At 45.2% G+C, this 16,700-nt stretch overlaps 1 protein-coding gene across 4 annotated transcripts in view; it reads left to right on the plus strand.

Annotated features, from left to right (window-relative positions):
- The window catches only part of RGS3 (regulator of G protein signaling 3), a 153,009-nt gene that overhangs the window by 21,079 nt on the left and 115,230 nt on the right, over window positions 1-16,700 (plus strand). For all 4 annotated transcript variants that reach the window (NM_144488.8, NM_001282923.2, NM_001394167.1 and 1 more), the window contains one exon: window positions 13,683-13,733. In NM_144488.8, the coding sequence (NP_652759.4) occupies window positions 13,683-13,733 (51 nt within the window). The remainder of the gene's footprint in view (window positions 1-13,682; window positions 13,734-16,700) is intronic.

Below are 16,700 nucleotides of genomic sequence, written 5' to 3' on the forward strand. Positions count from 1 at the left end.
TTCGTGCAGGCTCCTCTCACATCTCTCTAAGGATGCTTATGAGAGCATTTGAGAAATTCTCTCCTGTTTCCTGCACTGGCTCTGTTTCCCTGGGTGCCATTTGTCGTGGTGCCCCTCTTTCAGGCTGCTGATTTTCTTTATCCACTGTGATCTTCACTGATCTGCTTATGAGCAAAGATTCCTATCAGTGGTTTCCAAACCCAGCCAAATATCAGAAGCATGTGGGGAGCCTGTTAAAAATACACAGATTCCTAGAATCTTCTTCTGGAGACTCTAGTTTAATAGGTCTGGGGTGGAGCCTGAGAATATGAACACTTAAGAAGCCATAGAGCGTTCAGACTGTCATCCAGGTTTGGAAGCTATGGATTCAGAGTCAGTTTTGGTAGCAATTGGGACCACTTTTACTGTGAAGGTTTTGGCTAAGTTTTTCTCAGTTCACTGGCCTTTCCTTAGCAAAGTAGGTAGCCCCTGGCCTTCTACTGTGAGCTTTGCCTTGGTAGAACCAGATGAAGATGTTGCTTAGCTGGTAGTTTCCTGAGCACAGACATGTAAAGGGAGCATAATCATCTATGGAAATATAAAGAGACAAAACTGTTTTGATGAGAATTCCCTTCGGGGAGAGTACTGCATGATATATGTATTTGTGTGTACACATGAACACAACCCCTTGTCCCCCAAAAGGAGTATGTTCAAGTGACATTAATTGAAGGACACTGCGTTCTGAGGAGGTGGCCTTACTTCAGGGGAAGGGAGTAGGCAAGCTGAGGCTAGGACCCAACTACTCTAGAGGGATTTTTTTTTCTTTATTGTGAAAAATGATGTAATTTGAAGTCATTGTAGGTATACATAATATTTTTCTCCAGGATTGTATATTTTATTTTGATTAGGATATTTGCTGATTTTTCTTGTAACAGCTTTATTGAAATATAATTCAGATATATACAATTCACTCATTTAAACCATACAATTCAATGGTTTTTAGTATATTCACAGAGATGTGTAACTATTATCACAATTTCAGAACATTTTCATTCCCTCAAAAAGAGACATTATGCTCTTTAGCTTGTACCGTCCTCCCTTGTCCCGAGCCCAAAGCAATTGCTAATCTATTCTCTCCCTCTGTAGATTTGCCTGTTCTGGACATTTCATATAAATGGAATCGTATTTTTTTTTTTATGACTGACTTCTTTCACTTAGCATAATGTTTTCAAGTTTAATCCATGTTGTAGCAGATATCATACTCCATTCATTTTTATGGCTGAGTAGTATTCATTGTATGGCTATACCACATTTTAAAAATTTATTCATCTGGTGATGAATATTTTGGCTGTTTCTCCCTTTTGACTATTATGAATAATACTGCCATGAACATTTGTGAACAAGTTTTTGTGTGGACAAATGTTTTCATTTCTCTTCATATACACACAGTATATACCTAGGAGTAGATTTGCTGAGTCCTATGGTAACTCTGTGTTTAACTATTTAGGGAACTACCAAACTCTTTTCCAAAGTAGGTGTATCATTTTATGTTCCCATCAGCTGTGTATATGGGTTTTGGTTTTTCCACATTCCTTACCAACACTTGTTATTATCTGACTTTTTAATTCTAGCTATCCTAGTGGGTGTGAATTGATATTCACTATAGTTTCGATTTGCATTTTCCTGATGACCCGTGATGTTGAACATTTTTTCATGTGCTCATTATTTATATATCTTCTTTGGAGAAGAATGTATTCAGATCTTTTGTTCATTTTAAAATTGGGCTTTTTGTCTTGTTATTATTGAGTTGTAAGATTTCTTTATATATTCTAGATGCAAGCTCCTTAACCGATATATGATTTGCAAATATTTTCTCTCTATCTGTGGGTTTTTTTCACTTTCTTGATAGTGTTCATTGAATCCCAAACTTTTTTTGGGGATGGGGTCTTGTTTTGTTGCCCAGGCTGGAGTTCAGTGGCATGATCATGGCTCCTCTTTGACCATGCAGCCTCAACCTCCTGTGCTTAAGCGATCCTCCCACTTCAGCCTCCTGAGTAGCTGGTACTACAGATGTGCACCACCATGCCTGGCTAATTTTTCTTATGTAAAAAAAACTTTTTGTAGAGATGAGGTTTCCCTATGTTGCCCAAGCTAGTCTTGAACTCAGGGACTCAAGCGATCTCCTGCCTTGGCCTCCCAAAGTGCTGGGATTATAGGCATGAACCACTGTGTCCAGCCAGAACCCCAAACATTTTTAATTTTGATGAAGTTCAATTTACTTTATCTTTTGTTACTTGTACTTTGTGTTATATCTCAGAATTCACTGCCAAATCTAAGGTTCTGTCAGTTACCAAGAGATTTACCTGTATGTTTTCTTCTAAGAGTTTTATAGTTTTGGCTCTTATATTTAGGTCTTTGATCCACTTTGAGTTAATTTTTGTGTATGGTATGAGGTAAGAGTTCAACTTCATTGTTTTTTGTGGCTATCCAGTTGTCCCAGTACCATTTGTTGAAAATACCATTATTTCTCTATTGGATGATCTTGGTACCTTTACTGAAAATCAATTGCCCATAAACCCACGGCTTATTTCTAGGCTTTCAATTCTATTCCATTGATCTATCTGCCTATTATCATTCCAGTATCATACTGTCTTGATTACTGTTGCTTTGTAGTACATTTTGAAATCAGGTTGTGTAAATCCTCCAATTTTGTTCTTCTCTTTCAAGATCATTTTGGCTGTCCTGGGTCCCTTGAATTTCCATATGAATTTTAGGCATAATATTTTATATAGAAAATAAAAAAACTCAAGTTCACAAAAATGTTGGATAGATAGTTTTAAAATATCATCTTGAAGGGATACCAACTTATTAGTTTGACTGATGAAGCAAATTATTAATTTACCTGGGGTCTCTGAACCAAATTTTAACTTGCTTGGGATCTCTAGTCACCTGGATATGGTGAGTGGTCAGGAGAGAGAACAGGTTGCCTTTTCTGCAGGGTATCTGGGTCTGGAGATGGTGGGCAAGCTGGACATGTTCTGAGGTCTGCAGGTGGCTGTGGACATTGGGTGACAAAATGCACCTCTCTTTAGAAATGCCAGCCCCCTATGAACCTACAAAATGAAAGCTGTCGGGAGCAGCTCTAAATGTAGGCTCGAGAGGACTGCCTGGAGTCACTGATTTGCCATAGGGAAGTTGGGAAGATGTGGTTCTGGAGGCAGAGTAGACTTAGGAGTGTCATTGATTTGCTCAGCATTTTTTTTTTTTTTTTTTTTTTGCCTCATGTTTGTTGTGTTGGTACAATGTTAGCTGGGGCCTGTTTCACTCCTTTCTCTGCCTCTCTTTAGAAGCCGTGGAGATAAATAATTCATTTTCTGTAGTGAGAGTGAAGCTTGGGAACAGATGTCAGCCAGCTGCGTGGTGTGTTGGGCAGTGCACGGTCAGGCCCTGAACTGGAGGCCTTCAATGTGTCCCTGCCAGCTGCCCCTGGCTGGCACGTGTTTCCAGTCCCACTGCTCTGAGCCTGGGAGATTCCCTGGCATGGTTGGGGAAACCTATCCAACTGTTTCTCAGGAGCTCATCATTTGCTGGTCATACTCCTCAGCATTTATTGGCTTTTCTGTCATTCAGAGTCCAACTGCTCAGGAGCTTTCAGAAATTCCTCAAAGTTTCTGGCCCATAGATAGCCCTTTGTCCTCTTTTCCCATTCTGCTTTGTGTGTTCTTCTTAAACATTTAAAAAAGTTTGAAATATTATACAGACAGACAGAAAAGTGTCCCCCCAATAATGTGCAATCCAGTGACTTCTCACAAAAAAAAAACCTTTGTAACTTTCACCAGAGTCAAAAATTGAACATTTCTAGTATTTAGAAGACGCATGTTGATAATGCAGTTTTTTTCTTTATCATTTACTTCAAAATATTTTCTAATTTTCATTGTCATTTCTTTTTCAATCCTTGGGTTAGTTAGAAGTATATTTCTAAATTTCTAAATATTGGGGATTTTCTGGTAATATTTTTATATTTACTTTGCATTTTAGTCAGAGAATATACTCTCCATCCTTTTAATTCCTTGAAATTAATCAAAATTTACTTGATGCCTCAGCATATAGTTGTTTTTTTTTTTTTTTGTCGTTGTTGTTTTGAGACTGAGTCTTACTCTGTCACCAGGCTGGAGTGCAGTGGCGCAATGTAAACTCACTGCAGCCTCCCCTTCCTGGATTCAAGCAATTCTCCTGGCTCAGTCTCCCATGTAGCTGGGATTACAGGCACCCACTACCATGCCTGGCTAATTTTTGTATTTTTAGTAGAGATGGGGTTTTACCATGTTGGCCACACTGGTCTCGAACTCCTGACCTCAGGTGATCCACCTGCCTTGGCCTCCCAAAGAGTCAATTTTTATAAATGTTCTTTGTGTATTTGAAAAGGATTCTGCAGCAGTTGGGTGCAGTGTTCTTTGTGTATGTCAAGTTTAGGTCAAGTTTGCTCTTTATATTGTTCAAATATTCCGTATCCTTGTTGATTTTTCCTGTTTTCTCTGTCAGTTCCTAAGAGAGGTGTATTAGAATTCCCACTGTGATTGTAAATTTGTCTATTTCCCATTGCAGTTCTGTCAGTTTTTCCTTTACATATGTTGAAGCTATGTTAACAACATACAGATTTAGAATTATTATCTTTCTGGTGAGCTGAAATTTTTATTATGAAATCTATTATTGTTATGAAGTCTTCTTTATTTCTAGTAGGTATAAAGTCTAATTTTCCTGATATTAACATAGCTAACCATGCTTCTTTCATTTAATATTTGCCTGACATATCTTTTTCCATCCTTTTTCTTTCAACCTTTTTGGATCTACATTGTAGGTGTGCTGTGTCTGCTGCAAAGAACAGGCACATGGCTGGGAGTGGTGAGTGGCCCATGCTTATAATCCCAGCACTTTGGGAGGCCAAGGCAGGAGGATCACTCAAGCCCAGAAGTTCGAGACCAGTGTGGGCAACATAGTGAGAGCTCATCTCTACAAAAAATAAAAAAATTAGCTGGGCATGATGGTGTGCACCTGTGGTCCTAGCTACTTGGGAGGCTGAGGAAGGAGGATCACTTGAGCCTAGGAGGTCAAGACTACAGTGAGCTGTGATTGTGATACTGTACCCTAGCCTGGGTGTCAGAGTGAGACCCTGACTCAAAACAAACAAACAACAAACAAACAGTATAGGCAGAGAGTTGTTGTTATTATTATTATTTTCTTCTCAATGCAGACCTAGGATGATATTTTCCTTCAAAAAATCTTTGTTCGTTTGTCAGGTGCCTAGGGTCACTGGGTTAGTCTTAATTCAGTGTTGGGACTGAGAGTACTTGAAATCGAGCTGTAGTCCCTGGAGTAGCTGTGTCTGATTACAGTTCACTCTATTCCTATGGAGCAACCCTTCAGGGTCCCTATGCAAAAGGTGGGGCTCAGAAGAACCCTGCTTCTTGGTGGGCCCTGGTCCCTAGTTCCTATTCCTCTAGCCCTGAGAAGCAGGCAGAAACTCACTCAGTCTCTTGATCTCTCAATCAGCCCTCTGGAATTTGAAAACACCCCAGGAGGAAATTAGCCCAGAAAAACACTAGGTTTCCTTCTACAGTCCTCCATTCCCCTAGATCCTGCCTGGTAGCTCCTCTCTCTCTTGTTGTTTATCTAAGAAGATGCTTTAACATATTTTGTTTAGCATTTCTAGTTTTCCTCAGTGGATCTGTCATCCCAGAAATGGAAGTCCCCTACATATATTTTCTAAGCTTTTTTGAGTTGGTTTTTGTTTTTTTTTCCCTCCCTTTCTGCCTCTCTCCCTCCTTTTCTCCTCCCTCCCTGCCTCTTCCGTCCCTTCCTCCCCTCCCCGCTCTCTCTCTCCGTCCCTCCTTTCTTTCTCCCTGCCTGCCTGCCTACCTGCAGTTGTCCGAGCAGGCATTACTGGGGCTGGAGGGTCCCTTTCCAAGATGGCTCATTCACATGGCTCTCAGCAGGAGGCCTCAGTTCCTTGCTACCTGTAATTAGGAGGCTTCTGTTTCTCATCGCATGGACCTCTTCGTAGGATTGCTTGAGCTTCCTTATTATGTGGCAGCTGGCTTCCTTCTAGGCAAGTGATACAAAAATGAAAGCAAGAAAGAACTCCCATAAAAAGATGAGTAACCCAGCTCAAAAATGGGTAAAGGATTTGAATAGACATTTTTTTCCAAAGAAAAATGGCTAACAGCATGTGAAAAAATGCTCAATGTCATTAGTTATCAGGGAAATGCAAATCAAAACCACAATGAGATACTATCATACTAGAATGACTATAATAAAAAAAGAGCCAATAACAGGCGTTGAAGAAGTTGAGGGGAAATTGGAACCCTTGTACACTGCCGGCCGGAATGTCAAATGGTGCAACCACTTTGGAAAAGTTTGGCGGTTCCTCAAACAATTAAATGTAGAGTTTCCATTTGACCCAGCAATTCCACTCTTAGGTATAAATCCAAGAGGAATGAAAACACATGCTCACACAAACATGTGTACACACACACATGTTCATAACGGCATTATTCATAGTAGCCAAAAAGTCGAAATAACCTGAAATATCCATCACCAGATGAGTGGATAAACAAAATGTGGTATATCCATACAATGGAATATTATTTGGCCACAAAGGGACTAAAATACTGATACGTGCTACAATATGGGTGAACCTTGAAAACATTATGCTAAGTGAAAGAAGTCAATCACAAAAGACCATGCGTTGTGTGATTCTGTTTACATAAGTATCCAGAATAGGCAAGTCCTTAGAGACAGAAAGCAGATTAGTGGTTGACAAGGGCTGAGGGGAGAAGGGAATAGGGTGTGACTGCGAAAGAGTATGGGATTTCTTTTAGGGGAGGATGAAAATGTTCTAAAATTAGATAGAGGTGATTGATTACAGAATCCTGTGAATATACTAAAAGAAAATTACATGCTTTAAATTGGTGAAGTGTGGCCGTGCACGGTGGCTCAATCCCAGCACTTTGGGAGGCTGAGGCGGGTGGATCATCTAAGGTCAGGAGTTCGAGAGCAGCCTGGCCAACATGGTGAAACTCTGTCTCTACAAAAAATACAAAAAATTGGCCAGGTGTGGGTGGTGCATGCCTGTAATCCCAGCTACTCAGGAGGCTGAGACAGGAGAATAATTTGAACCTGGGAGGCAGAGGTTACAGTGAGCTGAGATCATGTCATTGCACTCCAGCCTGGGCGACAGAGTGAGACTCCATCTCAATAATAAACAAAACTGATGAAATGTATGATATGTTAATTATATCCCAATACAGCTGTTAAAAAAAGAAGGAACTAATAATACCTTTAATATCCTAATGTTGAAAGTCATCCACTGTCATTTCTACCACATTCTATTTGTTAGAAGCAAGTCACTAAGTCCAGCCCATGTCTGAAGGGAGGAACTAGGCTTCACCTCTTGAAAGGAAGAGTATCAAAGACTTTGTGGACAAATTTTAAACCCATGATAGGTATAGAGAGGCTAACAGTGGGGGCCCTGGACTGCCTAAATGCAAACCCCAGCTCTGCCACTTACTGGCTGTGTGATTTGGACAACCTGTTTTAGCTATTTTCTTTTTTTTGAGTTGGGGTCTCACTCTGTTGCCCAGGCTGGAGTGCAGTGGTGTGATCATGGCTCACTACAGCCTCAACCTCCTGGGCTCCAGTGATCCTCCCACCTCAGCCTCCTGAGTAGCTGGGACTACAGGTACACACCACCACGTCCGGCTAATTTTAAAAAAACGTTTTTGGAGAGACAGAGTCTTGCTATGTTGCCTAGACTGGTCTCAAACTCCTGGCCTCAAGTGATCATCCTGCCTCAGCCTCCCAAAGTGTTGGGATTACAGGTGTGAGCCACCATGCCCAGCCAACCTGTTTACCTCTTAATAATCTTCAGCTTCCTTGCCTGTAAATTGGGATAAAAGTAGTAACCATTTCACGGAGTTATTGTGAGGAGTAAAAGAAATAAAAAGCTTATAGTAAAGTGCTGAGTACCTAGTAAACATCTAAGAAACATTGACTTTGTTCTCTCCATGTGTGTGCCTAGCCTGGTAGTTCACTATGGCCCTGAACTCTGGGTTGAGATGTGTGTGAATCCTGTAGGATGTTTGGATCTGAGCCCCACAGGACTGCTAGTGGTGTTATGATCCAGCCAAGATTAGATGCTGACTGCAGTAGATTCAGGAGTTTTATTTTACCAGCTTGCCCAGGACGGACCTAGAATCCCTTGTGAGTGATCCATGGGAATCTAAATTATCAAGAGACTGAATGCTAATTTATTAGTTTATGCTGAAAAATAGAATTTCTGAGTAGACTAGAAGACTTATGCTGGCCGGAGCAATCTCTTTCTGTAAGGAAAAAGAGCTTGGGAAACTACATTAATATCAGCTTTCACAGGAAGCAGAGAGGCCAGGGGATTGAACTGACCCATCACAATTTTTATGCCAGTGCTGTGTGTCCTATGTCCTCACCTTCGCAAACCAGGGCCACTTTTTTGAATGGAACTCAGGGTTCTCCTTCTTTTAACACAGTAGCCATGGGAAATTCTCCTGGGTTATGTCCATAGAGCTGTGTGGCTGCCTGTTTCCCAGCGCCACTGCAGCCTACCATTTCTCCCTTAGATCAAGCAGGCAGTGAAATTGGTAAACACATGCTTAACCATTTCTGAGCCTGGATCAGGGCTGGGGTGTGGATGAGGCAGCTGAAGACCACAGAGAGAGGGCGTGCCTGGCATCTGGCTGGGCACCCTCCCTCCTGCGAGGAAGACTTGAGTACAGACGTGTCCTCATAAACGGAGGGGAAATCTGTGGATGTTAGCGGCTGGCTAGGCTCCATGTAGACCCAACTGCCTTCATATGTTTGTCTGGATATCATCACCCTTCCTGTAGCTTTTAACATGTGACAGTTCTTAAATGGGCAGCGGCTTCTGGGGTGAATTGGATTTTAGGATGCCTGCTGCTTCATGCTAGCCAGGCAAGTCCATCATAGATGTATTCTCTGCACATCTCAGGGTGGCATGGGCTCCCACTGGGACACATTCCGGCTGATCCCTGAGTCTAGCAAAGGTGTGCAGTCCCCATCTACTTCCTTTATTTTCTGAGTATGTCTCTTTCTGACTGTGGCCTGTGGGTTAGAGTTCATCTGTGGTTCTCTACTGAGTATTGTCTGCCAGACTGAATTTCTTTAGCTGGTGTCCACATCCATTTAAAAGTGCCCAGTAAGTCTGAGCCCTTCAAGTCCTGTGCCCAGCAGAATTTGGGTTTGTTGCCTTTTCCAGGCTTTCTGAAGCTCATTCCCATCCAGTATTTTTCCTGCCATATGGGGCCCTGTCTATTCTCCCTTTGGCTCTGGGCCCTGGTACACACTTGCAGCCTCTCTGGGCATCCATCACCACCACCTTTTGCACATAGTGTTGGTGCCCAACTGCGATCTCATGGGAACAGGGGACATGCCCTGTCCAAAGGCCCTGCCCAACCTCGATGAGGATGACTTCAAGCCCTTTAGCCTGACTGCTCCCTGAGTCTAGGGAGGAATGGGGAGTGTTGAAAAAAACAGAGGTGTAGGAGCAAGAATATTATTGGGAAAAGTTTTAGGTTTTTGTTTTTTGAGACAGGGTCTGGCTCTATCATCCAGGCTGGAGTACAGTCGTGCAATCATAGCTCACTACAACTTCAACCTCTTGGGCTCAAGGAATCCTCCTGCCTCAACCTCCCAAGTAGCTGAGACTACAGGCACGCACCACGGTGCCCGGCTATTTTTTTAATTAATTTTTTGTAGAGAAGGGCTCTTGCTGTATTGTCCAGGTTGGTGTCAAACTCCTGGACTCAAGCAATCCTCCCACCTCAGCCTCCCAAAGTGCTGGGATTACAGGCATGAGCGACCACACCCCACAAAGACAAGTTTTTAAAGGAACAAGCAAATTTCAGAACAATACATAGGGTATGTATCTGTGGAGGGAGGTTGGGTGGGGGGGGTGTTCTGAAAGGATGCCAAATTAGCTGGTGCTTCGGTGAGCTGAAGACTCCAGGGATTCAGCCCTACTTCCCCTTCACCTGGAGGTTTCTTTCTCTAGATTGGAGACATTTCTAGGAGGCTGCCCTCTATTTTTTTTCTTTTTCTTTTTTTTCCTTTGAGACAGGTCTCACGCTGTTCCCCAAGGTCCAGGCTGGAGTTGCAGTGGTGTGATCATGGTTCACTGTGGGCTCAACCTCCTGGATTCAAGTGGTCCTCCCACCTCAGCCTCCCAAGCAGCTGGGACTATAGGATGTGCCACTATGCTCAGCTAACCTCTTGGTTTCTTGAGAAAAGCTGTGGCACCTGGTGCTGTCCCCGATGGTTCTCTCTACCTCTGAATCTGAAGGTTGTGTTGGCAAACGCAGTGGGCACAGCAGAGGAGGTGCGTGCTAGAGGGCTGTGGGTGTTCCAGAAGACTGTGCACAGGAAAGAGTGCTGGAGTGGGGGTAGAGTTCTAATCTCCAGCTCTGGATTCTCTGGGCCCAGAGCAAATCACCTTCCATCTCAGGCATGACCGTTCTGGCTACAAAATGAGGAGACTGGACAAGATGACTTCAGGGGCCTGTGTGTCAGACATTTGGTGGAGTAGCATGATGGGGGGAAGGAGGGGACAGGCATGGCCGAGGGAGGGATCTTGTGAACTGGGGCAGGTGTGTCCTGGCCTGGGGAGCCTGGAGTCTGGTCTGCTGGGTTTGGTTTCTCTGCTGTAACAGGGTACAGGGCACCCTGGCCTTCCTGAGAAGCCCCTGGCTGGCAGGGCCTGGAACGGGAGCAGTGCAGTGTGGTGCAAACTCATCTCAATCCCGAGTCAGCCTTTGCCCCTGGGCCTTTGTCAGCCTCCAGCTTCTCACTTGGCCTTGCCCAAGTCCCTGTCCTAGCCACTGGGCTGTGAGCCCTGTGAGGGCAGGCACCTGCCCAGCCTCGTGCAGATGCCCAGCAAATATTTGCTAAATGGAATTAGTGACCATTTGTGTCTGGAGATTTCCTGATCCTGACTTCTGGGCAAAGGGCCACTGTTAGTTAGGTGATAGGTGTTGTGGAGCACAGGGGTTCCTGTGGCTTTCGGATCCAAGCATGTTTGTGCCAGAGCTGGCTTTGCACAGGTAGTAGTTTCAGAAAAAATGTTTCATGTTAAACATAGGTGTCTTTGAGTTGGTGAAATTCAACCCATGACTGCGGGCTTCGTTTGCCTGTTTCCAAACCTCTCTCTCTCCCACCCCACACTAGATTGGGCACAGTTTTCATAGGTTTCTCAGCTCTAGGAAGCCACAATGAAGTAATTGCTCAGACTTTGAGATAATGATACCGTCAGTTCTCCCGGCGCCTTTCATCCAAGGAGTCCTCCTCACCTGCCAGCATTATCTGATCACAGCTTGGAGAGTGCCATAACCCCTGTTATTAGCTCTACCTCACATCCATGGCCACTGTGGTCCTGAAAGAAGAGGGCAGTTAGGGCTGGAACTGAAACAGGATTCCTGGGCTTCTGAGATCTGGGTCCTGGACAGGAGAACAGCAGATATTTCTGATGGATGACGGGCTGGACCAGGGTTTGCAGGAGCCTGAATTGCTTGGGACTGAAGCTTAACCACCAGAAGTATGAGGGTCAAGTGATGTCTGGGTCACAGTGATTGGTGGACTTATGCAGAGTTAGGAGACATGAAGGGTTCTCCAAACCTGTTCTCTAACCAGAAACAAAGCAAAGCCCCAGCTGCCAGCCTAGTTTCAAGAGGCATGTCCAGAGCTGGCCAGATGGGATGATGAGGGGATGTCTCACTGTGCTGTGAGGGATTGTGGAAGGACTTTGGAGTTCAGGTCTAGAGGAAAGAGCCCAGAGAATGCAGAACTAGATCCGGGCAATGAAAGTTACCGAGAGGCCACTGTTGGCTTAATATAAGATGCAGCATTGAACAATCAGAGCTCTTTCAAAAGGGAAAGGGCTCCCACCACAGGAAGCAAGCTCCCCATTGCTACAGGTGACTGGGCAGAGGGAGGGCACAGCTAGCCAGGGTTGTCACAGATGGAGCCATGCCTGGGCTTTCTGGTAGACGGCCCTGCCCTGCTTTCTGATGTCTCCAGTGCCTGTCCATGGGGTGGACTGAGTTCAGCAGCTTTTTGAGGTCCCAGGGAAAGTCTACTGGACTGAGAGAAACATTTTCGATGTCACCGAGGAAGAGGAGTGTGACCCTCTCTCTCTTCTCTGTCTTGGCTGGAGGCCATTGGGTATCTGTGAGGATGACCTGAAGTTTTGTCCTGTTTTTTCTTTTTTTAAAAAATTTAAACAAAAATGGGAAAAGCCAGGGGATAAACCTCACCCGGCCACTCATTCTTGCCCTGCCTTCCAGCCCCGTCCTTCTGTTCTCTTTACATGTCCCCTCCCTCCCTGTTCTCCTCCCTTCCTCCCTGCTCTTTCTCTTCCTCCCCTCCTTTCTCCTGCCTCTTTCCTTCTTCCTTTGTTTCCTCTTTCCTTTCTTTTTAATTATAGAAGTGCTATAGTTCGTGGATATATTTGAATTATTAAAACAACAATTGTGATAGATTGAAATTCCTCTTGACTACCCTCCTCCAATTCCTAGTCTGTTCTCTAGCAGGGATCACTGTTTTTAATTTGGCATCCTTTCAGAACCCTCCCTCCCCCGCCAGATACATACCCTATGTATTGTTCTGAAATTTGCTTGTTCCTTTAAAAACTCGTCTTTGTGGGGCGTGGTGGCTCATACCTGTAATCCCAGAACTTTGGGAGGCTGAGGTGGGAGGATCACTTGAGCCCAGGAGTTTGAGACCAAGCTGGATAACACAGCAAGACCCCTTCTGTACAAAAAATTAATTAAAAAATAGCTGGGCACCGTGGTTCATGCCTGTAGTCTCAGCTGCTTGGGAGGTTGAGGCAGAAGGATTGCTTGAGCCCAGGAGGTTGAAGCTGTAGTGAGCTATGATTGCACGACTGCACTCCAGCCTGGATGATAGAGCCAGACCCTGTCTCAAAAACAAAACAAAACAAAACAAAAACCTAAAACTTTTCTCAATAATATTCCTCTGCCAGGTTGTATGGTGCTCCTCCATTCTTTATAACAGCTCATACTATTCCATATACAGCTATAGATGGTTTACTTCACTATTTCTATATTGATGAACATTTCAGGTGTTTCCAGTTTTTCCTTAAACAATGCTGTAGTGCCAGCCTTTGTGTGCACGTGCTTGTGTTTGTCTACGACAGTGACCTGGAATGAAGACTTTTAGGTGGAAGAATATGCACATTTAAATTTCAGTAGATCTTGGCAGAAATTACCCTCCATTTTCACTCCTTCCAACAGAGAATGACAGTACTTGTTCTCCTACACCTTTACCAACATTTGACAACGACCCAGCAGTGAGATTTCCCAGCATCCACCTGGCTGCCTGTACAGTAGTGAGCTCCCCATCACCAGAGGGGCACAAGCAAGGCTAGAGAACCACTGCTGGAGGCATTCGAAAGGGACTCCCGATGTGGTGGGCGGGGCTGAACCCTGTGGCTTCTGAGGTCCCTGCCAGCCAGAGACTTGTGTGAGTCTTTGAATGGCTTCACATGAACAAAAGAGCATTTCTGTCACCTTTCCTCTAGTTTTTTCCACCACACCCACCAGGGAGCTGAGGCAAGGTTGTTTCTGTTGCTGTTTCCTTAGGTCAGCTGAGGCTGTCCATTGATGCCCAGGACCGGGTTCTGCTGCTTCACAGTGAGTACGGCTTTGTGCAGGCTCACCAAGGAAGGGGCGGGCCACTCAGCTTGCTGCCTGGGGCTGGGGTTGGGGGATGGTGGCACCATGGGCCAAGGCTTCTTTTCTCATCCTTGTATAAAGGATGTGTCCATTGATAAAAGCCAGTATTCACCTGGGGCTCTTTCTATAGAGCAGCCCTGGTCCTGCCTTGGATGTGTCTGGAGTCCACATGGTAGACCTTTCTCATTGACAGGCTACAGCTGCCCCTGGGTACCTCAACTTCCTTCTTGGCCCCAGCAGAGCAGGGCCACAGAAGAGTTTTCCTATCTTCCCTCCCTTCTTTATTCCATCCTTTCTTCTTTTCTCTATTTTTCTCACTCATTCATTTATTCATTGGTTGACAGGCAGCATAGTATCATGGTTAAGATCATAGTCTTTGGAGCCAGACCACTATAATTTGAACCCTGGCTCTGATACTTGTTGAGTGGCCTTGAACAAGCTCCGTTTTCTCATCTGTCAAGTAGTGGTGGTAATACTATGTATCTTACAGGTTGCTACAAAGATTAAGTGAGTTACTGTTAGTAAAGTGCTTAGAACAGTGCTGAACTTGTAGTCAATCCTGTGTAAGTTTTTGTTAGATAAAATAGAAAACTGGCTGGGCACGGTGACTCATGCCTGTAAACCCAGCACTTTGGGAGGCCGAGGCGGGCAGATCACGCGGTCAGGAGTTCAAGACCGGCCTGGCCAACATACTGAAACCCCGTCTCTACCAAAAATACAAAAAAATTAGCCGGGTGTGGTGGCAGATGCCTATAATCCCAGCTACTTGGGAGGCTGGGGTAGGAGAATTGCTAGAACCCAGGAGGTGGAGGTTGCAGTGAGCCAAGATCATGCCATTGCACTCCAGCCCAGGCGACAGTACGAGACTCCGTCTCAAAAAAAAAAAAAAAAAAAAGAAAACCATACATTCCAAAAATAGCGATTGAGCATTAGCTCTGTGCTAGGGGCTGGGAACACCAAGGAGAAGCACCCACCCCTGTCTAGATGGTGTTGATGGGATGCCAGGGAAGACTTGGCGGAGGGGGTGATGCCCACACGGTATCCTGAAGGAGGAATGGGCCTGAGCCAGGCAAAGAGGAGCAGGGAGGGTGTGGCTAGCACTTCATGCACAGGGCTAGCAAGTGCAAAGGCCTGGGGGTCAGAGAGAGCAGGATGCATTTGAAGAGCTGTCTAGCATGGCTGGAGCACAGCACAGGAAGAGTTCATACTCCACCTGTTTGTCTGTCCATGTGTCCATCCTTCCATCCGGCACATGAATAGTTACATGAGTTGCTGTCATGGCCCCCACTGCCAGGACTCTTCTGTTTAGCCCAGAAGGCCCTGTCTATCTCTCCAGCCTCCCTGGCTCTTGCCGCTGACGGTACCCTCCACCTCCAGCTCTATCCAGTTACATGCACTCCCTTGAATACATCTTGCTTGCTCCTGCCTCTGTGCCTTTGCACCTGCTGTTCACTGTGCCTGGAATAACCTTTCTTTTGTTTTGAACCCCTTTTGAAAAATAACTCTCCACCTGCTCTGATTTTGCAAGAAATATGCCTGCCTTCATCATCATTAAGACTCAGGAAGGAAGGGTCATTTTGCCTTATTATTTCCCCCTCCAGGAATCATCCCCCTGACCCACCTGTCTGGGCTGGGTTTATTGCTTTCTCCTTTGTGTCTTTGTCACAGCCCTGACTATACTGTGCCACCTGTGTCTGGCCTCTCTGCCAGACTGAGAATGCAATGAGGACAGGGACTGGGTGTGGTTCATTGTCACTGCTGGCCAGAGAGACCCAGGAGGTCACCAGACCTGGGTCCTGCCCTCAAGAACCACGCCCTCGAGGGAAATGATGCACACAGGAACAGTAACCAGGATACTGGGCAGAGTAGACTAGTAGGCGCCTGGGTCCTCTGGTCATGGCCATGGGGGGCCCAACGTGAAGTTCCCAAGGAGCAGCAGAGGGGTGTTCTCTGCCTGCCAGGGCCTGACTCCAGCTGTGCAAACAGTTTTTGCAAAATGCATCTTGGCCTCCACCACTCCATTTGTCCTGCACAGTTTGCTTTGGCTTCACCCCAGTCTCAGGCCCTTCATCCCTTCCCACCGGTCCCCACTCCTTCCATTGGTTTCCCAGGCCTTGCACCTCAGACTACTGGGAGCACTGTCTGAGCCAAACCCTAGGGCTCAATGAAAACCAGACGTAAGGCTGGGTGCATTGGCTCACGCCTGTAATCCCAGCACTTTGGGAGGCTGAGGCGGGCCAATCACCTGAGGTCGGGAGTTCGAGACCAGCCTGACTAACATGGAGAAACCTTCTCTCCACGAAAAATACAAAATTAGCCGGGTGTGGTGGCACAAGCCTGTAATCCCCGCTACTTGGCAGGCTGAGGCAGGAGAATCACTTGAACCCGGGAGGTGGAGGTTGCAGTGAGCCGAGATCGTGCCATTGCACTCCAGCCTAGGCAACAAGTGCGAAACTCCATCTCAAAAAAAAAAAAAACAAAAAAAACAAGAAACAAACAAACAAAAAAATCCAGACGTAAAAGAAAATAGAACTGAGGCTCAGGTTCTATCAGGTCTATTGTCTTCTTTCTATAGACCTCAGGCAAATGGTGCTGCCTACTCTTGTGACCACACCTGCACCCACCCCACACCTCTCCCCTTGCCTTTATTTATTATTATTTTTCTTTAGCAAACATTTTTTGAGCAATTACTTATTTGCCAGGCACTCCTCTGAGCACTTCAGGCACATTACCTCATTTAATTGGAACAACTACCATGTGAAGTGCATGTTATTATCACTAAACCATTAAAAATGGCAAATTCTGTCCCATGCAAAGCAACTCACTCTAGCTTATATGGTGAGTAAGCGGTGCAGCTGGGATTCATGCCTGGGTCCGTCCACCCCTGAGGCCCCAGCTTGTGACTCCTGTGCTGTGCTGTCCGCC

Source organism: Homo sapiens, chromosome 9 (genome assembly GCF_000001405.40).
Source record: "Homo sapiens chromosome 9, GRCh38.p14 Primary Assembly".
Classification (NCBI taxonomy): Eukaryota; Metazoa; Chordata; class Mammalia; order Primates; family Hominidae; genus Homo; species Homo sapiens.